Here is a 21,988-nt window from a genome sequence, read left to right as displayed (position 1 = left end):
AAATTACTCAGTCTCAGGTATTTCTTCATAGCAGTATGAAAACGGACTAATACAATTATACTTCTGTGAACAAAATTTGGAGCATATTTGTTTCTTGCTACCTGATTTTTCCAGAATTTGGAAACCATTTGTGAGTATTCTTAACTTATGATAACATAGTTATTTGCATAAGTGCAATAAGAATCTGTTTTCTTTTGTAACAGGACACAATTGGAGAAAGTGATTATTTTACTAAGGCTTTGACTGGAATGGCATGCTTAACCTTTAGAACCAGTAAAGGCCCCTTGGGAAAACTGGCCTCATAGCTTGTCTATGAAGTCCCTGTACAGAGTTCTTGACCTGTGGTATGTAAAGAATGTAATTTTCTGACAGACCCAGGAGCCCCAGGTTATCTTGAGACCTCAAGAGGAGCCAACTCACATAGGTATTTGACAGTAAAAACCCATGTCTGGGCTTGGCTTTAAAAAAGGTCTTATTTGATATTCCTTCTATGGAACAAAGTTGTGTTAAAACTAATGTAAAAAGCCTATGTGAAAAATAATCATTCTTGCTGCACTTCATATAAATAATCAGGCCAAGGATAATAAAGCAAGTCGGTCTTACTATCATTTGTCTTTAGTAAAAATGGGAGACTGGAAAGAGAAAAATTACGTTTCTAAAACTATTGTGCACCCTATCAGATTCTAGTCTCATCAGTTATTTTTGAGGGTTTTTTGTTGTTGTTGTTGCAATTTGGACTTACCCTGCTTATTCCTGTAAACCAACTAGTGATCTCCAGCTGCAGCTCAGAATAAACGTGAGGGATGGGTAATGTAAAAATCCAGATCAGTATTCTACATCTGGGTACATATTGGGATCAGTTAGCAATCCCGTATCAGCTTGCTTCCAACAGTGGTGTAGTTCATGGAAAGCCTTCTTATTTAGTTTACTGGGGATAATTTTCCTTATTTTGCTTTACTGTTGTGGAATTTATTACTATTGCACTCTTCGTATAGGAATTCAGGATAAGCTTACTGAATGTTTTATTGAATTAAATACTTATTCATCTTTCAGATGCCACATTTTGTTGGAACTCAGAGTTATGAGTGGCCCTCGCCATACCTACACTTTCTGACTGAGCTCCTCTCTACCCTGAATACAAGAGACCCTAATAGGCAGGAATATCATCACCCCTCTTCAGCCTGAAGATGTTACAGAAGATGGATATTTGTCCGTTTACAACCCTTAAGATTAAGGGTTCCCCTGTAAAAGGGAGGGGGAAAATATGTCAGAGATGTTTGAACCAGAGCAACTTCGTCCTGAATAGTGGCTCGGTAAAGTGAGGCTGACACCTATGGACTGCATTCCCAGGAGGTTAGGCATTCTTAGTTACGGGATGAAATAGGAGTTTGGCACAAGATGGGTCATAAAGACCTTGCTGATAAAAGGATGTGGTACAGAAGCTGGCCAAAACTCACCAAAATCAAGATGTGATGAAAGTGACTTCTGGTAGTCCTCACTCCTCATTACACTAATTATAATGCATTAGCATGCTAAAAGACACGTTCACCAGCACCATTATGGTTTACAAATGCCATGGCAATATCAGCAAGTTACCCTATATGGTCTTAAAAGGGGAGGAACCCTCAGTTCTGGGAATTGCCCACCACTTTCCCAGGAAACTCATGAATAATCCACCCTTTATTTAGCAAATAATCAAGAAATAACTATAAGTATAATCAGTTGAGCAGCCCATGCCACTGCTCTGCCTGTGGAATAGCCACTCTTTTATTCCTTTACTTTTTTAATAAACTTGTTTTCACTTTACTCTATGGACTCGCCCTGAATTCTGTCTTGTGCAAGGTCCAAGAACCTTCTCTTGGGGTCTGGATCAGGACCCCTTTCTGGTAACAGATGGGGATGGAGTCGTGGGTGGGGAAGGGGCACAAAAGCCCTAAGAAGGAATTGAAATGATCTCTCCTTTTAAGGTTCTGAAGCAAGGGCAAGTCAAGAAAGGAACTTTAGAAAAATCCTTTACTAAAGCTTTGGGAATATTAATGAGGAAGCAATTCATAGATTATGGTGAAAAGAGAAGAATCTGGCTTACAAAACATAGCCCTGGACTACAGGACACTTTGGGACTCAGCCCTAGTGTTATCTGTGTGGACCCTAGAGGAACAAATGAGTCCTAAAGAATCTCCTACTGAATTTGTCAAGTTATTTCTCCCACCTCTATTAACCTCCATCTTGGTTTCTTTATACCTCAGGTTTGAGCATCAGCTCCATAGTCATCCACTTAGAGGGCTTTTTTCTTACACAAAGCAAACTTATGAAACAGTTTTGGTGTAGGATGCCAAGAAAGTCCATGAGAAGAAAAAAAAAAAATCATGGTTGGTAACATCATCAGGAGAGATTTTTTTGGAGGATTTTACTAGATGATGTTTAAGCTGAATTCTTCAGGTCAAATATGTATTTGATGGTTGGAGACAGGGAAACAGCAATCCAAGTGGACAGATCATGGTGGACAGAAACTGTAGTAATGGTTTCAACAGGAGATAACTTGGTGGCAGGTTGCCAAAGATTTCATTAGAAACTTATATTGCTTTTACAGTGGTTGCTGTGTTGCATCATACAGAATCCCCCTTCAGGACAGAGGCATAAATTCCTTCATTTGGCAAGAGTCTTGGCTGGTGACAGCTCATCATTGAGTTCCTTCCTAGGCTTTGCCTAGCTGAAAGTTTCATCTCCTCCCCTGTGGTCACCTATATCCAATGACTGGTTGATGCAGAGACACAGGAGTCCATACCTTTTGTTTCAACCAGGACAGCTATAAAGGGCCATCTAAACAGCTCCCCATGCCATCAGCTGAGGTTTTTATTCTGATGGCATGGCAGTTCAGCATCTCCCCTGGACAAGTACGTTTTCTTCACTCGGTCATGTGTGTTCTGGACAGCACTCCCAGATAAACTTTCTGAATACAAATCTTTGTCTCAGAATCTTTTCTGGGGAACTCACCTAAGACAACTCCAGACATAATTTGAGATACAATAGGCTATTCTAACAGAAATAACATAGAGTTTGGAAAGCATAAAAGTACATATGACTCAGTCATTAGAAGTACTGACTTGTGGTCTCTATGGTAACAAAGTGGAATTTCAAGATTAGTACTGATTTACTAAACCAATTTAGATTCCACTGACAAATAACTGGAAAGGAGAGAAATTGTACCAGGGCTGTGACTCTTCTGCTCTCAGGCTTTGCCAAACCCATCAATCAGTTTTGGTCACTAAGTGTATAGTCTATCTATACTTAAGACTATATCAGGGAATTATGCTGTGGAAAAAAAACAGAAAACAAACAAACAACAACAACAGAAAAAAAACCTCAAGGGCTTGAAAAGTAACAATGGCTTATTTTTTTGTTGATGCTTCATGTTCATTTCAGGTCAGAAGAGAGAGAAGGTGTTTCTGCTCATAGTCACTATGGGAGCTAGTCAATGGAGCAGCTACTACCTAGAATCTTGCAAATCATTGCCAGAGGGAACAAAAAATTTGAGAGGATTTATATCTGTGACTTCAATGTTACACCCAAAGAGATACACATCATTTATAATCAGAATTTGCTACAACTGTTCATCACAAGGGGCTGAGAAAATGCAATTTCAAAATGTGCCTGGTGGAGCAGGAGTTAGGAGAATTGGAATATTTGGCAGCTTACACTAGTAAAGACTTGGGGAAAATCTTGGAACCTCTAAAATAAAATTAAAAAAGAAAAATCCATTTAAACTGATCATTGAATTCCTAATTTTCAATTAAGTAAAAAGTAGATTAGTAATAAGTAATCATTGATCCTTTAGTATCTTTAAAATTGTATTTGCAATCTTTGGAGTTTATTTTGTAAACACGTGTTAGGTGCCTTCTGTTTACAAAGTACTCTGACAGTTATTCTTAAGGCACAAGTATGAAGAATCCCTGGACTATTTCTTTAATGGTGTTTATATCTACTTAGAGATAAAGGCATTCAAAATATGTAGGGCAGAGAACAAGCAGAGGAGGGTAGTATGAGCAACATTTAGGGAATGTAAAAGAGAGAGTTGTTAAGTGCCAAGTTTCCATGCTTGAAGCTTGCAGAGGACGAAGTTTTGTCTTCTGCAAATATACCTGAAAATACTCTTTTGATCTGAGCTGTACAGAAGGGGCAGATAAGGAAAAACAAATATTACATTATTGCTTTTAAATCCATTTTTGATTTCCATTTTCCCTTTCCCATTCCAGACCCTTCTGTTTACTTTTTTGTGGTTAGAATAAATGATTATAAACTGAGAGCCAATATTGTTACTCCTTGAGATAAGGAACCGTTATTTTTTGGTATTCTGTACACTCCATTCCATGTTAATGAGGATTTATCATGATAATTATAATAAATTGTACCTCTAGTTAATGCATCTTACAGCTTATAAAGCGAGTTTCCATATGCTGTTACTGTTATTTCCAAAACATGCTAGTGCAATAGGTTCAGAAGGTTTTAATAAAATTATTCCCATATCATAGAGAAATTGAGGCTGAGAAAATTAAAATAATTTAATTATTGTTACAACTATTTATAGCTGTGAACAAACCATCCTAAAACAATGACTTAAAACAATAACTAATTTTTTTCTCACCTGAGAGTTGCCTGGGCTTAGCTAGTCAATCCTTGTTTGGAGTCTCTCATGCAGTTTTCGTCATTGATGGCTGGGGCTGAGGGCATCTCAAAGGCTTTATTCACATGTTTGGTGCCTGGTCTGAAACAACTCAAACATCTGGGATCTAGAATAGTTGGGGATCCTCAGACGTAACACTCTCTGTTTTCTATCCATTGTCTCTCTGCAGAGCAACCTCAGGGTAGCTGGGCTTTGTGCATGGGAACAAAAGGCTCCCAGAATGAATGTCCAAGAGGGACCAGCAGAAATCTCATGTCCTTTGCTCTCTAGCTTCATAAGTTACACATCACACAGCCCCCTTTCCCACCATATTCCTCTGTTTGTTGAAACAGTAGCAAAGATCCATCTAGTTTCACAAGTAGGGAATGGAGATTTCAACTTTTCCGGGAATAGTGTCAAAAATTTTGCCAAGCTGTCAAACAACCACAAGTATATTTACATGGTAAATAATAAAATAGAAATAGTCTCTGTGCTGCAAGTTGGGTTCCCCAGAGAGCAGGTGCCAGGATAGTGTGTAGTGAGCGGGAATTTATAAAAGAGTGCCCTTGGCACCAACACTTGTGAATGGGAGGCTAGCAACAGGACTGAGCAGAAGCTGAGTTGCGACACAGGCCTAATGACTACCAGCCCCACTAGGCTAGATTCTGCAGTTTCCTGCAGAGTGGTCCCAAGCTGGGCTTAGATGCCCCAGCATAAATATTCCCACTTAGACCAATAGATCAGTAATTGAATGTGGGCCACTCTGGAAAGGAGCATGACCTTGAGAAAAGTGGCTCTCTGTGGCAGAATCAATCTCTGAAGGTGCTGACAGCTGAAGATTGTCTGCCAATAGGACTCCCAGCAGTTGAAGCAACAAGTTCTTCGTTGAAGGAGAATTATCACACTTTGGCTCCACACCCAGTAACCTCTCATTATACCACACTGTCTCCCCTAAGAAAGCATCACTTATCTGTACACATTGACTAAATATTAATTGTGAAATACATTGTACAGTGAAAATAACATGGGGACACGTTATTTGGATGCATTTCTTATATCCCAATATTGGGCACATTTGTGTGTACACAAGAGATGGGTTACATAACCTATGAATCAGTCCAGGCAGCCAATGGATGCCAGCCTTTATTTTTACCCCAGGCTGCACTACCAACGCTCCCACCTCTAAATCAGTGCTTGTTGCAGTGCAGACACATGATTATCCATCAAGCTCCTGAATGCCACTGCCCAGTCAACATTTCCACTAATATCTTGTCAGCATCTCAAAATTTACTTGTCCCAAACTGAACACTTGATTTTGGAACTCTTATGAAACTCTTATTCTTCTACATTATACATTAAATGGTATAACTATTCACCAAACCCTAGAAGTCATCCTTGATTCCTTTCTTTCACATCCTGGGGGTGAATATCTAAAATTACTTTATTTCCTCATATACTTATATTTTCTGTCCTCCTCCTAAATTTTAGCTCCGTGAGAGTAGAAAATTTATTTACTTACCTAGTGTTGTCCAACACCTAGAAAAATTTAGGACCATGATTTGCAAAGAATAGGTACTTAGTAGATATATAATGAATGAATCTTTGTGGAAATCAACTAATCGTTATTAACCAATTCAGGATTCCACAGGCACTAACCTCAACTGTTCTATAGAGATTCTGCGTGAAGAAACTACATCTCTCTGTCTTTGGCATTGGTTCGATTTCTACCAGCAATATTTACTGAATATGAGCTCTTTGAGATGTTCTTTTGTCATGACCATTTTTGCTAGTCTGATGAGGCTTTCCTAGCTGCTGGACTCCAAACCTACTTAAAGGTTTTGGCTTTACAATGGCACCATTTCCAGTGGCCTAAGATGTCATGAACCAGCAATACTGCTGCCAAGATGCAAGCACCCCTGCACTTGTAAAGGATATGTTCAATTGTAAAAATAATTATTCTACAGTAGACTTATTTGGGTCTCGAAACATGACTTATCTAGTGAAACAGACCTTGGAATTGACACAAAGCCCCTTTATCCTCCCTGGTCTTATACACAATCATAGCTGGGGGCTAGGATGGATACACATAAAACCTCAATGTTGAAAGAGGCCAGTTTCTGTTCATACCAATTCCTTCATCCCTAAATAAAATCCTCTTGAAGAAGCCCTATTTTCCCTTTCTATAATCTGACTCTAGTTTATCAGATTATGTTTATATGTCTTAACTCTAAATATAAATATAAATGGAATTGGACTAAACAGGTACAGACTGAACTAAACTGCATGCAGTTATCTGGTTCAGAATAGACTGCTTCAGGACCAACTTATTTCTGAATAAGAAATTATTCAATTATAAAAATAATTTTATTTTGATGTACATGAGTTTTAAGAAATCTAAAATTTTAAGAGCAGGTTATTTCTATTTGTGTACCAAAAAAGTACTTGAATTCTCACTCAGGAGTATTAGATACTAGGTAAAAATATTGCCATATAGTTTTCAGTTCTCTTCACTTCCAGTCACATGCTAACATTGTATTTCTTTGCCCTACTGTGGTTGGGTCAGTCCATGTGACCAATAAGTTTGTTAGTAAAAGTGGCATGTGTCACTTCGAAGTGGAACATTTAATTGCTGATGTGAAATGGTGAGTTCTCCATCCTTCTGATGCAATAACTAGTAATGTTTGAGATGGTGCCTTCTGCATCAGCCTGGGTTGCTGAGAGTCTACAATATGTGGTTTCTCCCTGCTGATACATGGTGGAAAAACACAAATGAGAAATAAACCTTGTTTGTGTTAAGCCCCCTAAGACTTTGGATAAGTGTTACTAAAATATAAACTGCCATTTTTTAGTTGTGTAAACTGGAACAGGTCATTTTACCTTTTTGAACCTCAGTTTCCTAATTTTAAACTGGCAATAAATATTTAGGTCATTGGGTTTCTCTGAGATTTTAAGAAGACTATATGTGAAAGGTGTTATAAAAATTCTAAAATTCTTTGCAAAGGCTAGCATGTATATCAATATGCACAATTCATTTTTTAATTTTTAGATTCACCTAGTTGTCTCTCATGACATTAATTTCAATTTTTTTTCAGCCTTTTGGACAAGTATGTCTATGCATGGAAAAATATGAATAGTAGACTCACCTCAAATAAATTCCCAGGGATGCTTCAAATCTCTATGAGAGGTATCTATTCTTTGCACATCACTAAATATTTATTTCATTGTTTCCTACCTCCCTCTTTTTGTCATTTCCTCTCTCCCTTCTTTCTTTTATTCCTTCCATCCTCCTCTCTCCCTCCAACCCCATCTTCAACAAATATTCACCTAGTCTGCCAATAACTGGGAAAACAAAGATAATTGGACAGAGCCTCTGATCTCAGGGTACAGACACATACTTGGAAAAGTACAAAATAATTGCTTCAGGTTTCAGGTTTATGAAAAATATATGTTCAAACTACAGTCGGTCAAAAAGATAGAAGTGCTCAATTTTTAGTAGATAATTTTAAAAGTCTTAGTTCAGAAAGAGAAACTAATTGTGTCTGTAGAGATGGTTAAGTTTTTTTCTTAGGGTGATAACAGAGTAGTGGAGATAAAAAGAGAAAACTGGATACCAGGCCGTTGGAGCAGTATAGGCAAAAACATAGATTTGTGGCCTAATTCACGGCACAGTGTAATTTGTGAAATCAGTCTAAGTTGGACAACCAAAGATTCATCTTTGTATTCAAATATAAAGGGTATTTAGTTTCAGATATACTCAATAATTCATAAAGGGGAGAACACATCCCTTGATTGACTTCTCTTTTAGCAACTTTCTAATTATAAGAGTTTTACAATTCACAGTGGGAATTAATAAAATATAGAAAAGTACATTTAGAAAAAACTTCTAGAGAAAGGCAGTGATAACAACCTAGAGTATTTACTCCTAATTCAAATATATGCTTGTGTATAATATATATTCCTAATAGTTACACACAATTTAAAATAGTTAATGTTATATTTCTATACTTTGTCATTTTTTCTAATTTGTAATGCATATGTGAATCTAATTGCTGAACACCAAGGTGTGGTTGAGTTTGTGATATAAGTGCTTCCACTGAGCTGATTCTCTGTTCCAGAACATGACAATTTTTGCGTGTTTATGCCCAGTACGATGCCAATTCCTGGCATAGAATTATGGTCAACATAACTTAAGTTTCTGATTGACCTGATAGATTCCCTTTCTTTAAAATGGGAGAGAAACACAAAATTATTCCTACACAATTCACATTTTAAAATATAAATTAGAGTGTATATATGTGTGTGCATATATGTATGTATATGGTACTATAGAATGCCCAGAAAATATAAAAATACATATTTCCTGTTATAATGAAGCACAAACTATGTTTTCACTTATTTGGACAGAATGATTTAGCTATGCTTCACTAAACATTGATTACTGGAAGACAATGTTATCATGTATTATGACATCTAATCTTAAAAACAGCTCTACTATTTTCTCCTATTTATGGGGAAACTTATGCCCAGATAAATTAATTAACCTGCCCAAGGACACACATCTAATAAAAACTCAAATTGAATTTAAACCCGAAAGAACTGTAGTAATTATTATGGTATCAAATAAATACTGCAATTAATTTATTTATTGATTCTCCTCTTAATGGACACAATTGGAAAAATACACAATTATATTTTAATAGTAGGTATCTCTGTGTGGTAGGAATTTATGGTGGATTTTTATTTTATTCTTTAATGTTATAACCAGAAAAAAATATGATAGTGGTTCTGCCACTTATTAGAAGCATGGCCCTGGGCAAGTAACTTAACCTCTTTATATTTTATTTTTCACTTTTGTTTCATTTGGGAATTGAGAGTATTGAGTAACTTTTTGAGAGTCCATTCCTACTTTGAACTTCTGAGGCTGTAAGTCTCAACAGGCAAAACATAGTATTTCCCTGGAGAGAATATTGCATGCAGAAGACCTACATAATGTTGAGACTAAAGTTCATGTTTATATAACATTATTTCTAGGAATACATTACAAAATCCAATTTTGTCTAGCAAATACTGACAAAGTCTCAGAGGAAAAACTAGAGAAACTAAAGGGAATCATTTTGGATAAATTGTATAGTACAAAGAACATTTTGCTAAGAAGCAAGCGTAGGTTGCATTCTCTTTTGCCGCTTTCTGGCTGTGTTGAGAAAATACACTTCCTCCCCGATTCCTAGTTACCTCCCTTGTAAATAAATGAAGCATCTGGGAATTGGAGAGATTATTGTCTTGCTAACATATCGTGAGAACTTGAGGCTATATGGAAGATCGGAATCAGGGCAGTAGGCCCCAATAGGCTTATCACTTTTGGTAGGATTGGGAAAGGAGGACAAAAATTGCTAGATCCTGAGCTGTAACACATCAAAAACCAAAGATGTCTTGTTCCAAAGACAAGATGAGCTTCTTGATGTATAGGCTTTCCAGGAGAATTCAGGGGTGGAGGGGTAAAAATATTTAACTCTTGATTCCCAGGCTGCAAAATATCGAGAGCCTTGCCCTGTGAGATCTGTATGCCTATTTACAGAGGACTTACTAGGATACAGTCAGTCTTTACCTAATCAAACATTCCCCTGATAGGGCAACAGAGAGAGGTGCCCAGTCTAACATTCCTGATTTCTACTTTCCACAAAACAAATGCCTTCTTTGCTGCAAACCATGCAGAAAGAAATGATATGATTTCTTCACTATTGTTTAATCATGACTCATAATGTTGATGAGGAGAGTCTAGCAGTTACCATGGTTGAGTACTATACTGAGATCTGAATCCAGAGGAAAAAAGAATCACAGTAGGTTATAGGTGTCACTATATTATCACAAGAAAGAACATAATCTCTTTTAGAAAGAAAAATATGTAAGCTTCATACATAGTGAACTGTATACTGGTAATATCTATTAAACTTGAAGATGAATATTCCCTACAACTCAGCAGCTCCTTTTCTAGCAAAGAAACTCTTCTATGTACACAAAAGGATACAATGTTCAAGGCTGTTTATGGCAGCATTATTTGAAAAAGAGAATAATTGAAAATATTTGAAGTGCCCATCAATAGAATAAATTGTGTTGATATAGTCATAAAATAGAATGCTGTAAAAATCGTGCAGTAAAAATAAACTAGAGCAACACATATATTAGTAGGAATGAAGCATATATTTATAACGTTGAATAAAACAAAACAATTTGAAAATAATACCTGTATTAAGATAGCATTTAATAGTTAAAAATTCTGCAAAATCATACTATATATTATTTACACATGAATAAAAACATAGAAATATTAGAAAACTTAACTGTAAATGATACATTTGGAATTAGTGAGAACAGATTACCACTGAGTGGGAGCAAAGATAATGGAAATAAAGGATTTTATAGAGAACTGTAACTATAACTACAGGAAGTGTGGAATAATATGACAATATGATAAACATAGGGGCTAAGTGCATAATTTTCCTTATAGTACTCTATATTGTGATCTGAGTTTTTTGAACTACTTTATAATTTTAAAACATTGATTTAAAAAACTTTAATGTTGTATATAGCATATTCAAGCTTGAGTGTTTTTTTTAAATATATATAAAAATTGCCATGAGTAAAAGATAAAATACCAATCAAATGTTGGAAACACTAAAGCACAACCTCAGGGTTCTATAGAAACATATGAATCTGTAGTAGGTTAGTTAGAGAAGTTATGTGTTACATTATTATAGGGGATTATATTCCCTCATTGAATGAATTGAATGAAAATTGTATCCATTTTTATGTGACTCAAATCCAAATTCCGAGTTTTACTGCATGTACAACACAGGTATATTCAATTTGCTCTAATTTACCCATTTCTAAAGTGGACATTTGGTTTAGGCAGATTATTATTTAAAGGCTCTTTGAAAAGAAAAGGTAGGTTCTAAAACTGTAAATAAAATCAGCACATTTGTTTGGCTGCTAAACACTACACGAGTTTTACTTCAGCAAGTAAAACTCATGGGAATGCATTCTCATCATGTCTGTCTAAGATACATTGAGGCTGTGAAGTTCAAAGGTGTTATGTTCCTATAGATTTCTACTATGTTCCTATAGATTTCTACTAAAAATCCTTGAAGCATGAGAAATGTGTAGCTATACTGATTTTTTCCCAGCATGTGATGCAGAATTTATATACTTGATTTTACTCCCACAAAATAAAATCTATTGCCAAAAATAATGGCCCTGCACAAATTATATATTGAGTATGATCAGATACCTCCTTTTAAAATTCCCACTTTTCATATGACACAAAAATATTAATTGAGAAACTGAGGACTTTGAAGAAAAATGGTTAAATTTGTCTTGGCTTTTAGCATCAGTATTTATTTTCTATATATTTTCTAGAACTTGAATTAATTATAATTTTCAGGAAGTAATGTACCTATTTGATTGCATATTTGTATTAAAATGTTTTTCAAAATCTGTTTTCCAAGAGTATTCCAAAATATATATTGCTACAATCTATTATTTTGGTAATGCTAATAGACCTACTATACATGTAAGATATGAGGGGCAAAGATACATAAGGGATATATAATTTAGCATATATTGAGTATAGATTATATTAAAAACACTTGCTAAGGACTTTGTAATAAAATTTCCTATTGATTTTATAACTCTGAAATGTAGATACTCCATTATGCTGATTTTGAAAGCTTCTCCCATAAAGAGGTGGAGTCTATTCTCCTACCACTTGAATTTGAGCTGCACTCGTGATTAGAGAATGTGAAGGAAGAAGTGAGTCAGTCTCTGTCTCTCTCTCTGTCTCTCAGTCTCTTTGCTTAGGCCCTAAGAGGTCTTCTACTTGTTTCCTCTTGAAACTCTGTCACTTCCATGTGGAAAAAACTAAGGCCATCTTGTTGGAAATGGATAAGTTACGTGGAAATGAGCCCAGCTGTCCTAGCTGAGACCATCCTAGGTTAGATCATCTTATTGCCAGCCAACCACTTAGCTTGTTCATAGATTTAAGAGCAATAAGAAATGCTTATTGTTTTAAGCCACTAAATTTTGGGGTGATTTGTTACACAGAAATAGCTGACACATTGATCTTTAAGAAAGTGACAATTTAGATTAGAGCAGAATATTGAGTCACCTAGACAACTTTAAAGCCCACGTTCTTTCCATTTACTGCATAGAATACAAATAATGATGTAGAGGAATATAGAACAAAGTCATATGGCTGTTCCAGAGAGAGGAGTTACTTTGAAGTGACTAAGAAAGCTGTCATAAGGAAGGTGCCCTTTGGATTGGCCCCTTAATAACTGGAGAAGGAGATTTGCAGTTGAAAATGAGCTGAGGTGCAGAAGGATGAAGGTAAAAATTATGTTCAAAGAATGGCAAGTGAGCCTATTGTCCAGAAAAGCACAGTTGGTATAACATAGCATTGGGCCCAGAAAGTGAATTTCATTTACCCTGGGATTTCTTTCATCCAGGTGAAAATTTATGTAAAGAGAAAGCTTTCTTAGTTTGAGATCAGAAACAATTATTGGTTGAGCATTTTAATTACTTAGATTATAGTTTATTAATGTTCTGGGTTAAATTATATTCCTGTCAACGTAAATTTACAATAGAAATTTGTGAATTTAGAGAAGAAAATATACTTAACCTTTGAATTAAATAATTAAATAAGTGACAGATCACAGATGTTAAAGAGAGAAAACATTAAACATGAAATTCAGCCTAGGAGTGTACTGAATGGACCTGGGCAAGATACTTAACCTCTGAGTCTCAATTTCCTTACTTGTAAAATGGAGATGATGAATATTTATTTTATAGGATTGCTGGGATAATTAGCTATACCATGTGAAGAAATGTCTGGCATGTAGCAGATACTAAACACATAGTAGCAATTTTTACAAAATACGTTTAAAAAGTCCCCTGAGAATCAAAGTGTTAATCCTGGCCTTAAAGATGGACACAATTATGAATAAATTCAGTGGTACTCCTAAGTGCAAAATTTTCATATTTTACTTATATGATTTCTTAGATTATTTGTCAAATAGAAATAATGATGTAATTATACAATTATGGAGACTGCAGCTACCCCTTCCCTATCTGAATTGGTATCCATACTTTCTCCATAAGGTGAGATGCAAAATGACACACATCATGTTCCAACATCAGAAAATACTGAATGAGTGATTTTGTGGTAGGAATAAAGCATAACATGACTCCCTTTCAGACACAGTTGAAGAATGAAACAGCAATTGCAAAGTGGCTAAAGGAGGGTAGGATCATTTCTCCCGCAGAGGATTACCAGCTTCTTTTGTGACCTCATCATTGTCTTAACAGTCCTTCTATCAGGGCAACAACGAGTTCATGTACAAACAGCCACTTAGGGCACAAAATTTAATGTGATTATTTATTTATTTATTTTAGATGGAGTTTCACTCTTGTTGCCCAGGCTGGAGTGTAATGGTGCGATCTCGGCACAGGGCAACCGCTGCCTCCCGGGTTCAAGCGATTCTCCTGCCTCAGCCCCCCGAGTAGCTGGAATTACAGGCATGTGCCACCACGCCCAGCTAATTTTGTAGTTTTAGTAGGGACAGGGTTTCTCCATGTTGGTCAGGCTGGTCTCAAACTTCCGACCTCAGGTGATCCACCTGCCTCGGCCTCCCAAAGTGCTGGGATTACAGGCGTGAACCACCACGCCCAACCAATGTGATTATTTATTAAAGATGTAAAATCAAATGGTGTTTTTTTTACAATTATTAAATTAGCATATATGTACAAGTGAGCTTGTGTTGAAATGGGTGCATTCATGTAAGCTACTGAGAGTATAAGTTGTAGTCATCTTTTAAAAACAAAATAGCAAAAACTTGAAATTGTTCCTTTTTTGATCTGTTGTTGCTATTGTTGAGACTTCATATTATTTTTAGGGAAAAAGGAAAAACACATGTAAAAATGCTCATTACTAAATCATTTGTAGTAGTAAAAAATGGAAAGCAGCTTCATGTTTGAAAACTAAGAAATGGTTCAGTAAACCACCAAATATAAATTTGCAGACTATAAACCATTAATTTAAAAGACTTATTGTGAAAAATAACAATGTAAAAAATGTTTATAACGTAATGTCAAGTGAAAAAACATTACAATGAACAGTATACTTTCAAACACATAAAACATGTTTCCTTATGACCCAAAGAACATAAAAAATGAAAACAAAGGATTTGTTAGTGAGTTGGGATTGTGAGATATTTTTCTTTTTTATTTATTTCTTTCATTGTTGGTATAATGTTTCTTGTGCTACAAATAGAAAACAAAATGGTAAATTCATAAAATGGAACTATTACTCTGATGTCAGACTCTGGAGGCATCTATGCAGGCTGATTTTTTACAGTTTACTAATATCAGTGTTATTACCTATTTATAAAAATACTTTATCTGTCTTATTTAAAATATTCAATTAAATGTTCTTGAAACAGTAAACCAACATCAATCTGAAATTAATTTTTTTTTTTTAAGATGGAGTCTTGCTCTGTCGCCCAGGCTGGAGTGCAGTGGTGCAATCTCGGCTCACTGAAACCTCCACCTCCCAGGTTCCAGTGATTCTCCTGCCTCAGCCTCCTGAGTAGCTGGGATTACAGGTGCGTGCCACCATGCCCAGTTAATTTTTGCATTTTTTTAAAATTATACTTTAAGTTTTAGGGTACATGTGCACATTGTGCAGGTTAGTTACTTATGTATACATGTGCCATGCTGGTGCACTGCACCCACTAACTCGTCACCTAGCATTAGGTATATCTCCCAATGCTATCCCTCCCCCCTCCCCCGACCCCACAACAGTCCCCAGAGTGTGATATTCCCCTTCCTGTGTCCGTGTGATCTCATTGTTCAGTTCCCACCTATGAGTGAGAATATGCGGTGTTTGGTTTTTTTGTTCTTGCGATAGTTTACTGAGAATGATGATTTCCAATTTCATCCATGTCCCTATAAAGGACATGAACTCATCATTTTTTATGGCTGCATAGTATTCCATGGTGTATATGTGCCACATTTTCTTAATCCAGTCTATCATTGTTGGACATTTGGGTTGGTTCCAAGTCTTTGCTATTGTGAATAATGCCACAATAAACATACGTGTGCATGTGTCTTTATAGCAGCATGATTTATAGTCCTTTGGGTATATAGCCAGTAATGGGATGGCTGGGTCAAATGGTATTTCCAGTTCTAGATCCCTGAGGAATCGCCACACTGACTTCCACAATGGCTGAACTAGTTTACAGTCCCACCAACAGTGTAAAAGTGTTCCTATTTCTCCACATCCTCTCCAGCACCTCTTGTTTCCTGACTTCTTAATGATCGCCATTCTAACTGGTGTGAGATGGTATCTCATTGTGGTTTTGATTTGCATTTCTCTGATGGCCAGTGATGATGAGCATTTTTTCATGTGTTTTTTGGCTGCATAAATGTCTTCTTTTGGGAAGTGTCTGTTCATGTCCTTCGCCCACTTTTTGATGGGGTTGTTTGTTTTTTTCTTGTAAATTTGTTTGAGTTCATTGTAGATTCTGGATATTAGCCCTTTGTCAGATGAGTAGGTTGCGAAAATTTTCTCCCATTCTGTAGGTTTCCTGTTCGCTCTGATGGTAGTTTCTTTTGCTGTGCAGAAGCTCTTTAGTTTAATTAGATCCCATTTGTCAATTTTGTCTTTTGTTGCCATTGCTTTTGGTGTTTTAGACATGAAGTCCTTGCCCATGCCTATGTCCTGAATGGTAATGCCTAGGTTTTCTTCTAGGGTTTTTATGGTTTTAGGTCTAACGTTTAAGTCTTTAATCCATCTTGAATTGATTTTTGTGTAAGGTGTAAGGAAGGGATCCAGTTTCGGCCTTCTACATATGGCTAGCCAGTTTTCCCAGCACCATTTATTAATAGGGAATCCTTTCCCCATTGCTTGTTTTTCTCAGGTTTGTTGTATATCTAGAAAACCCCATTGTCTCAGCCCAAAATCTCCTTAAGCTGATAAGCAACTTCAGCAAAGTCTCAGGATACAAAATCAATGTACAAAAATCACAAGCATTCTTATACACCAACAACAGACAAACAGAGAGCCAAATCATGAGTGAACTCCCATTCACAATTGCTACAAAGAGAATAAAATACCTAGGAATCCAACTTACAAGGGATGTGAAGGACCTCTTCAAGGAGAACTACAAACCACTGCTCAAGGAAATAAAAGAGGATACAAACAAATGGAAGAACATTCCATGCTCATGGGTAGGAAGAATCAATATTGTGAAAATGGCCATACTGCCCAAGGTAATTTACAGATTCAATGGCATCCCCATCAAGCTACCAATGACTTTCTTCACAGAATTGGAAAAAACTACTTTAAAGTTCATATGGAACCAAAAAAGAGCCCGCATCGCCAAGTCAATCCTAAGCCAAAAGAACAAAGCTGGAGGCATCACACTACCTGACTTCAAACTATACTACAAGTCTACAGTAACCAAAACAGCATGGTACTTGTACCAAAACAGAGATATAGATCAATGGAACAGAACAGAGCCCTCAGAAATAACGCTGCATATCTACAATTTTTGCATTTTTTAGTAGAGACAGGGTTTCACCATATTGGCCAGGCTGGTCTTGAACTCCTGACCTCGTGATCCGCCTGCTTCGGCCTCTCAAAGTGCTGGGATTATAGGTGTGGGCCAGTGCACCCGGCCTGAAATTAATTTTATGAGGATAATTGGCTTGAATGTAGGCAGTCTGCACTGGGTGGAGTTCAGAATGAATGATAAAACAATTACCCACCAGTTTCTCAACACTTCAATATATTTGGACAGAGAAAGAAGAAAAAACAAATTCTGGAAAATGATGTTTTCAGTTTGTGTGTTGTTTTTTTGAAAAATTAAAACACTTGTTTTTTAAGTAATATTAGCTTTATGGATTTCAGCTAATGATGTCATTTGCATTTCACATTGTTTTATTATTCTTTATAATAATTATAGAGCTATTTTTTCTATTCATGCCACATAAGGAACTATAGTTTTGAGACTTTGAAAGAATCATTTTTATGTACTGAATGTTGATTTTTTAAAAAGACATTTGGATCTGAATGGTAGCACTACCTTACGAAAGAGATATTACCTGCTTTGAGCTTCAGTGATCTTATCTATAAACTGATAGTAATTTCCCTCTTTTCTCTGCTTCTCAGGAAAAGTTATGACAACCTATAAATTAGTGAACATAACTGAATTCACTGGAAGTGTATAAAACAATAAATGGCATTTGCTCGCCTTTAGAGATATATTAATAAATGTTAAAAATATTCAATTCCAAAAGGAAAAGAACTATATCTTTTTATCCTACATTCAGTTCCTTCTGTCATTCAATAAATATTTATTTGGGGGTCTACAATCATTGTGCTAAATGCATGAAATACATCATAAAAATGCCAAAGATCTTGATCCACACTTTAGTGTGAGAGATAGAATAATGAACAGACCATAATAGCCCAGTTTGATAACTTTTTATAATAGGATACTATGGCAGAGTGCTAGACAAACAGTGAAACAATCCAGTCTAGACTTCTAATGGGGTTAATCTTAGATGGTTTTTAAAAATTAGATTAGAAATTAGAAAAAATCCTAAAATAATTAGTAGACTAGGAGTTAGCTAGTGAAGCCAGGGATTTAAGATGTGTACTGAGAGAAGACAGAAGAGATGGGCATTCACAGAAGTTAGCAAAGAATGATTTTTTCTGGATTTGTATACACACACACACACGCTCACACACACAAATTCTATTGTTTTGTTTTCATACTACAATTTAGACTTCTTATTGTTTTTTATAATGTTAGATTTTGTCACATATCTAAATTTATTTGTTCACCATTCATTTTTGCATTTTAGACCTTCTTTCTATAAGTATTTTCCTTCCCTTCGCAAGTACAATCCTCAGAATTTCCTTTTGTGAAGATTTGTGAGTGGTAAAATCCTTCACTTTTATTTATCTGAAAATGATTTATTTTGCTGTGTTCTTGAAAGATAAGAACTGTCTAGGTACACAATACTGAATTGTAACACACTATATTATTTTTTCTAATTATTTGCTCCGCTCCCTATAAGAATATTTTATATCCCTGCTCATTGCCATATAATTTGCTTTCTTTCTCTGTGGGAGGAGTATACTTCCCTACCACACAGGTATCCATCTTGTCTTCAAAACTTAGGTTGGCCCATAGAAATGTGAGCAAAAGTGATGTGTGCCAGGTCTCACAGAAGTTTAAGGGTCATTACATTATTCTGCCCTTGTTCCTTTCCTTTTGTCATAAGAAACACATGTTCCAAATTGGGATTACTCCTATAGTCTAGATGCCATAAAGACAAAACATGATCTAGAGCTAGTGCACTGATAGCTTACTAAGCCCCTATGTAATACAGGCAAAAAAAATAAAGCTTTGCTGCTATAATCTGCAGTTTTGGAACAATCATTTGTTGCTGCATCATGGAACAAAATGAGTGGCAGCCAGTTATGTCAACCAGATAGTTGCGAGTCTCTCTTTCTTTCTCTCTCTTTCTCTCTTTCTTTCTTTCTTGATGGAGTCTCACTCTGTTGCCAGGTCGGCATGCAGTGCTGCGATCTCGGCTCACTGCAACTTCCACCTCCCAGATTCAAGTGATTCTCCTGCCTCAGCCTCCCAAGTAGCTGGGATTACAAGCACACACCACCACGCCCAACTAATTTTTGTATTTTTAGTAGAGACGGGGATTCACCATGTTTGCCAGGATGGTCTTGATCTCCTGACCTCGTGATCTGCCCACCTTGGCCTCCCAAGAGAGCCATTTTTTTCTTAACACTCCACTTCGAATAAATTGTTCTACTGTTTTTTTTTTTTGCTTCCATTGTCACAGTCAAGAGGTTTTATGTTACACAAATTGTTCTTTGTGTGACCTTTTATCTCCAGCTGCTGCCTTCTTCTTCTTCTTCTTCTTCTTCTTCTTCTTCTTCTTCTTCTTCTTCTTCTTCTCCTTCTTCCTCTTCCTCTTCTTATTCTTGTTCATCTTCTTCCTCTTCCTCTTCTTTTTTTTTTATTATACTTTAAGTTCTGGGATACATGTGCAGAATGTGCAGGTTTGTTACATAGGTATACACGTGTCATGGTGGTTTGCTGCACCCATCAACCCATCATCTACATTACGTATTTCTCCTAATACTATCCCTCCCCCAGCCCCCAACCCCCAAAGAGGACCCAGTGTGTGATGCCACCTCCCCCTTCCAACTGTGTCCATGTGTTCTCATTGTTCAACTCCCACTTATGAGTGAGAACATGTGGTGTCTGGTTTTCTGTTCCTGTGTTACTTTGCTGAGAATGATGGTTTCCAGTTTCATCCATGTCCCTGCAAAGGATATGAACTCATCCTTTTTTATGGCTGTGTAATATTCCATGGTATATATGTCCCACATTTTCTTTATCCAGTCTATCACTGATGGGCACTTGGGTTGGTTCCAAGTCTTTGCTATTGTGAACAGTGCCACAATAAACATACGTGTGTATGTGTCTTTATAGTAGAATGATTTATAATCCTTTGTGTATGTACCCAGTAATGGGATTGCTGGGTCAAATGGTATTTCTGGTTCTAGATCCTTGAGGAATTGCCACACTGTATTCCACAATGGTTGAACTAATTTACACTCCCACCAACAGTGTAAAAGCATTCCTATTTTTCCACATCCTCTCCAGCATCTGTTGTTTCCTGACTTTTTAATGATTGCCATTCTAACTGGTGTGAGATGGTATCTCATTGTGGTTTTGATTTGCATTTCTCTGATGGCCAGCGATGATGAGCTTTTTTTCATATGTTTGTTGGCCACATAAATGTCTTCTTTTGAGAAATGTCTGTTCATATCCTTCACCCACTTTTTGATGGGGTTGTTTTTTTTTTCTTGTAAATTTGGTTAAGTTCTTTGTAGATTCTGGATATTAGCCCTTTGTCAGATGAGTAGATTGCAAAAATTTTCTCCCATTCTGTAGGTTGCCTATTCACTCTGATGGTAGTTTCTTTTGCTGTGCAGAAGCTCTTTAGTTTAATTAGGTCCCATTTGTCAATTTTGGCTTTTGTTGCCATTGCTTTTGGTGTTTTAGTCATGAAGTCCTTCCCCATGTCTATGTCCTGAATGGTATTGCCTAGGTTTTCTTCTAGGGATTTTTAATGGTTTTAGGTCTTACATTTAAGTCTTTAATCCATCTTGAGTTAATTTTTGTAAAGGTGTATGGAAGGGGCACAGTTTCAGCTTTCTGCGTATGGCTAGCCAATTTTCCCAACACCATTTATTAAATAGGGAATCCTTTCCCCATTGCTTGTTTTTGTCAGGTTTGTCAAAGATCAGATGGTTGTAGATGTGTGGTGTTATTTCTGAGGCCTTTGTTCTGTTCCATTGGTCTATTTATCTGTTTTGGTACCAGTACCAGCTGCTTTTAAGATATCCACTTTTAAATTTAATATCCTATAGTTTCACTAACAAGTAGGTGTCTTTTGACTTAGTCTGCTTGATATTTGTAATAGATTTGTCTATACTTGCACATTCTTATTTTTTCTAAGTATAAAATACTATTAACTTTTCATATATTTATTCTCACCATTTCCTCTCATCTCTTCTGCAATTATGATTGGACATATGTTAGACCTCTATTCTATTCTCCAACCTCTATTTTATGTTTTCATATTTGTTCTCTGCTGTAATTTAAGAAATTACACTACAGATTTTACCTTTTTCCCCCATTGCATTTTCTTTGCATTTTTGTCAAAATAAGCTTGTCATTTATGTGTCATCTATTGCTGGCATCTCTATTATGTTCCATTGACCTACTATCTGTCCTTTAATCACAACAAACTGTCCTGATTTTGCAGCTTTTTACTAACTTTTAAAATTGAGTAGCATGGGTCCACCAACTGTATTCCTCTTTTCAAAATTTACTAGGCCATTGTAGTACTTTTGCTTTTCCATGTAAATTTTAGAATTAGCTTGTCTATATATTTTTTAAAAAAATACTTTAAGTTCTGGGATACATGTGCAGAATGTGCAGGTTTGTTACGTAGGTATACAAGTGCCATGGTGGTTTGCTGCACCCATCAACCCATCATCTACATTAGGTATTTCTCCTAATGCTATCCCTCGCCTCTCCCCCGACCTCTTCATAGGCCTCAATGTGTGATGTTCCCCTCCCTGTGTCCATGTTGTCTCATTGTTCAACCTCCACTTATGAGTGAGAACATGCAGTGTTTGGTTTTCTGTTCCTGTGTTAGTCTGCTGAG

Source organism: Homo sapiens, chromosome 9, assembly GCF_000001405.40.
Source record: "Homo sapiens chromosome 9, GRCh38.p14 Primary Assembly".
In the NCBI taxonomy this organism is placed as follows: domain Eukaryota; kingdom Metazoa; phylum Chordata; class Mammalia; order Primates; family Hominidae; genus Homo; species Homo sapiens.
Note: the sequence above shows the minus strand (reverse complement) of the source record.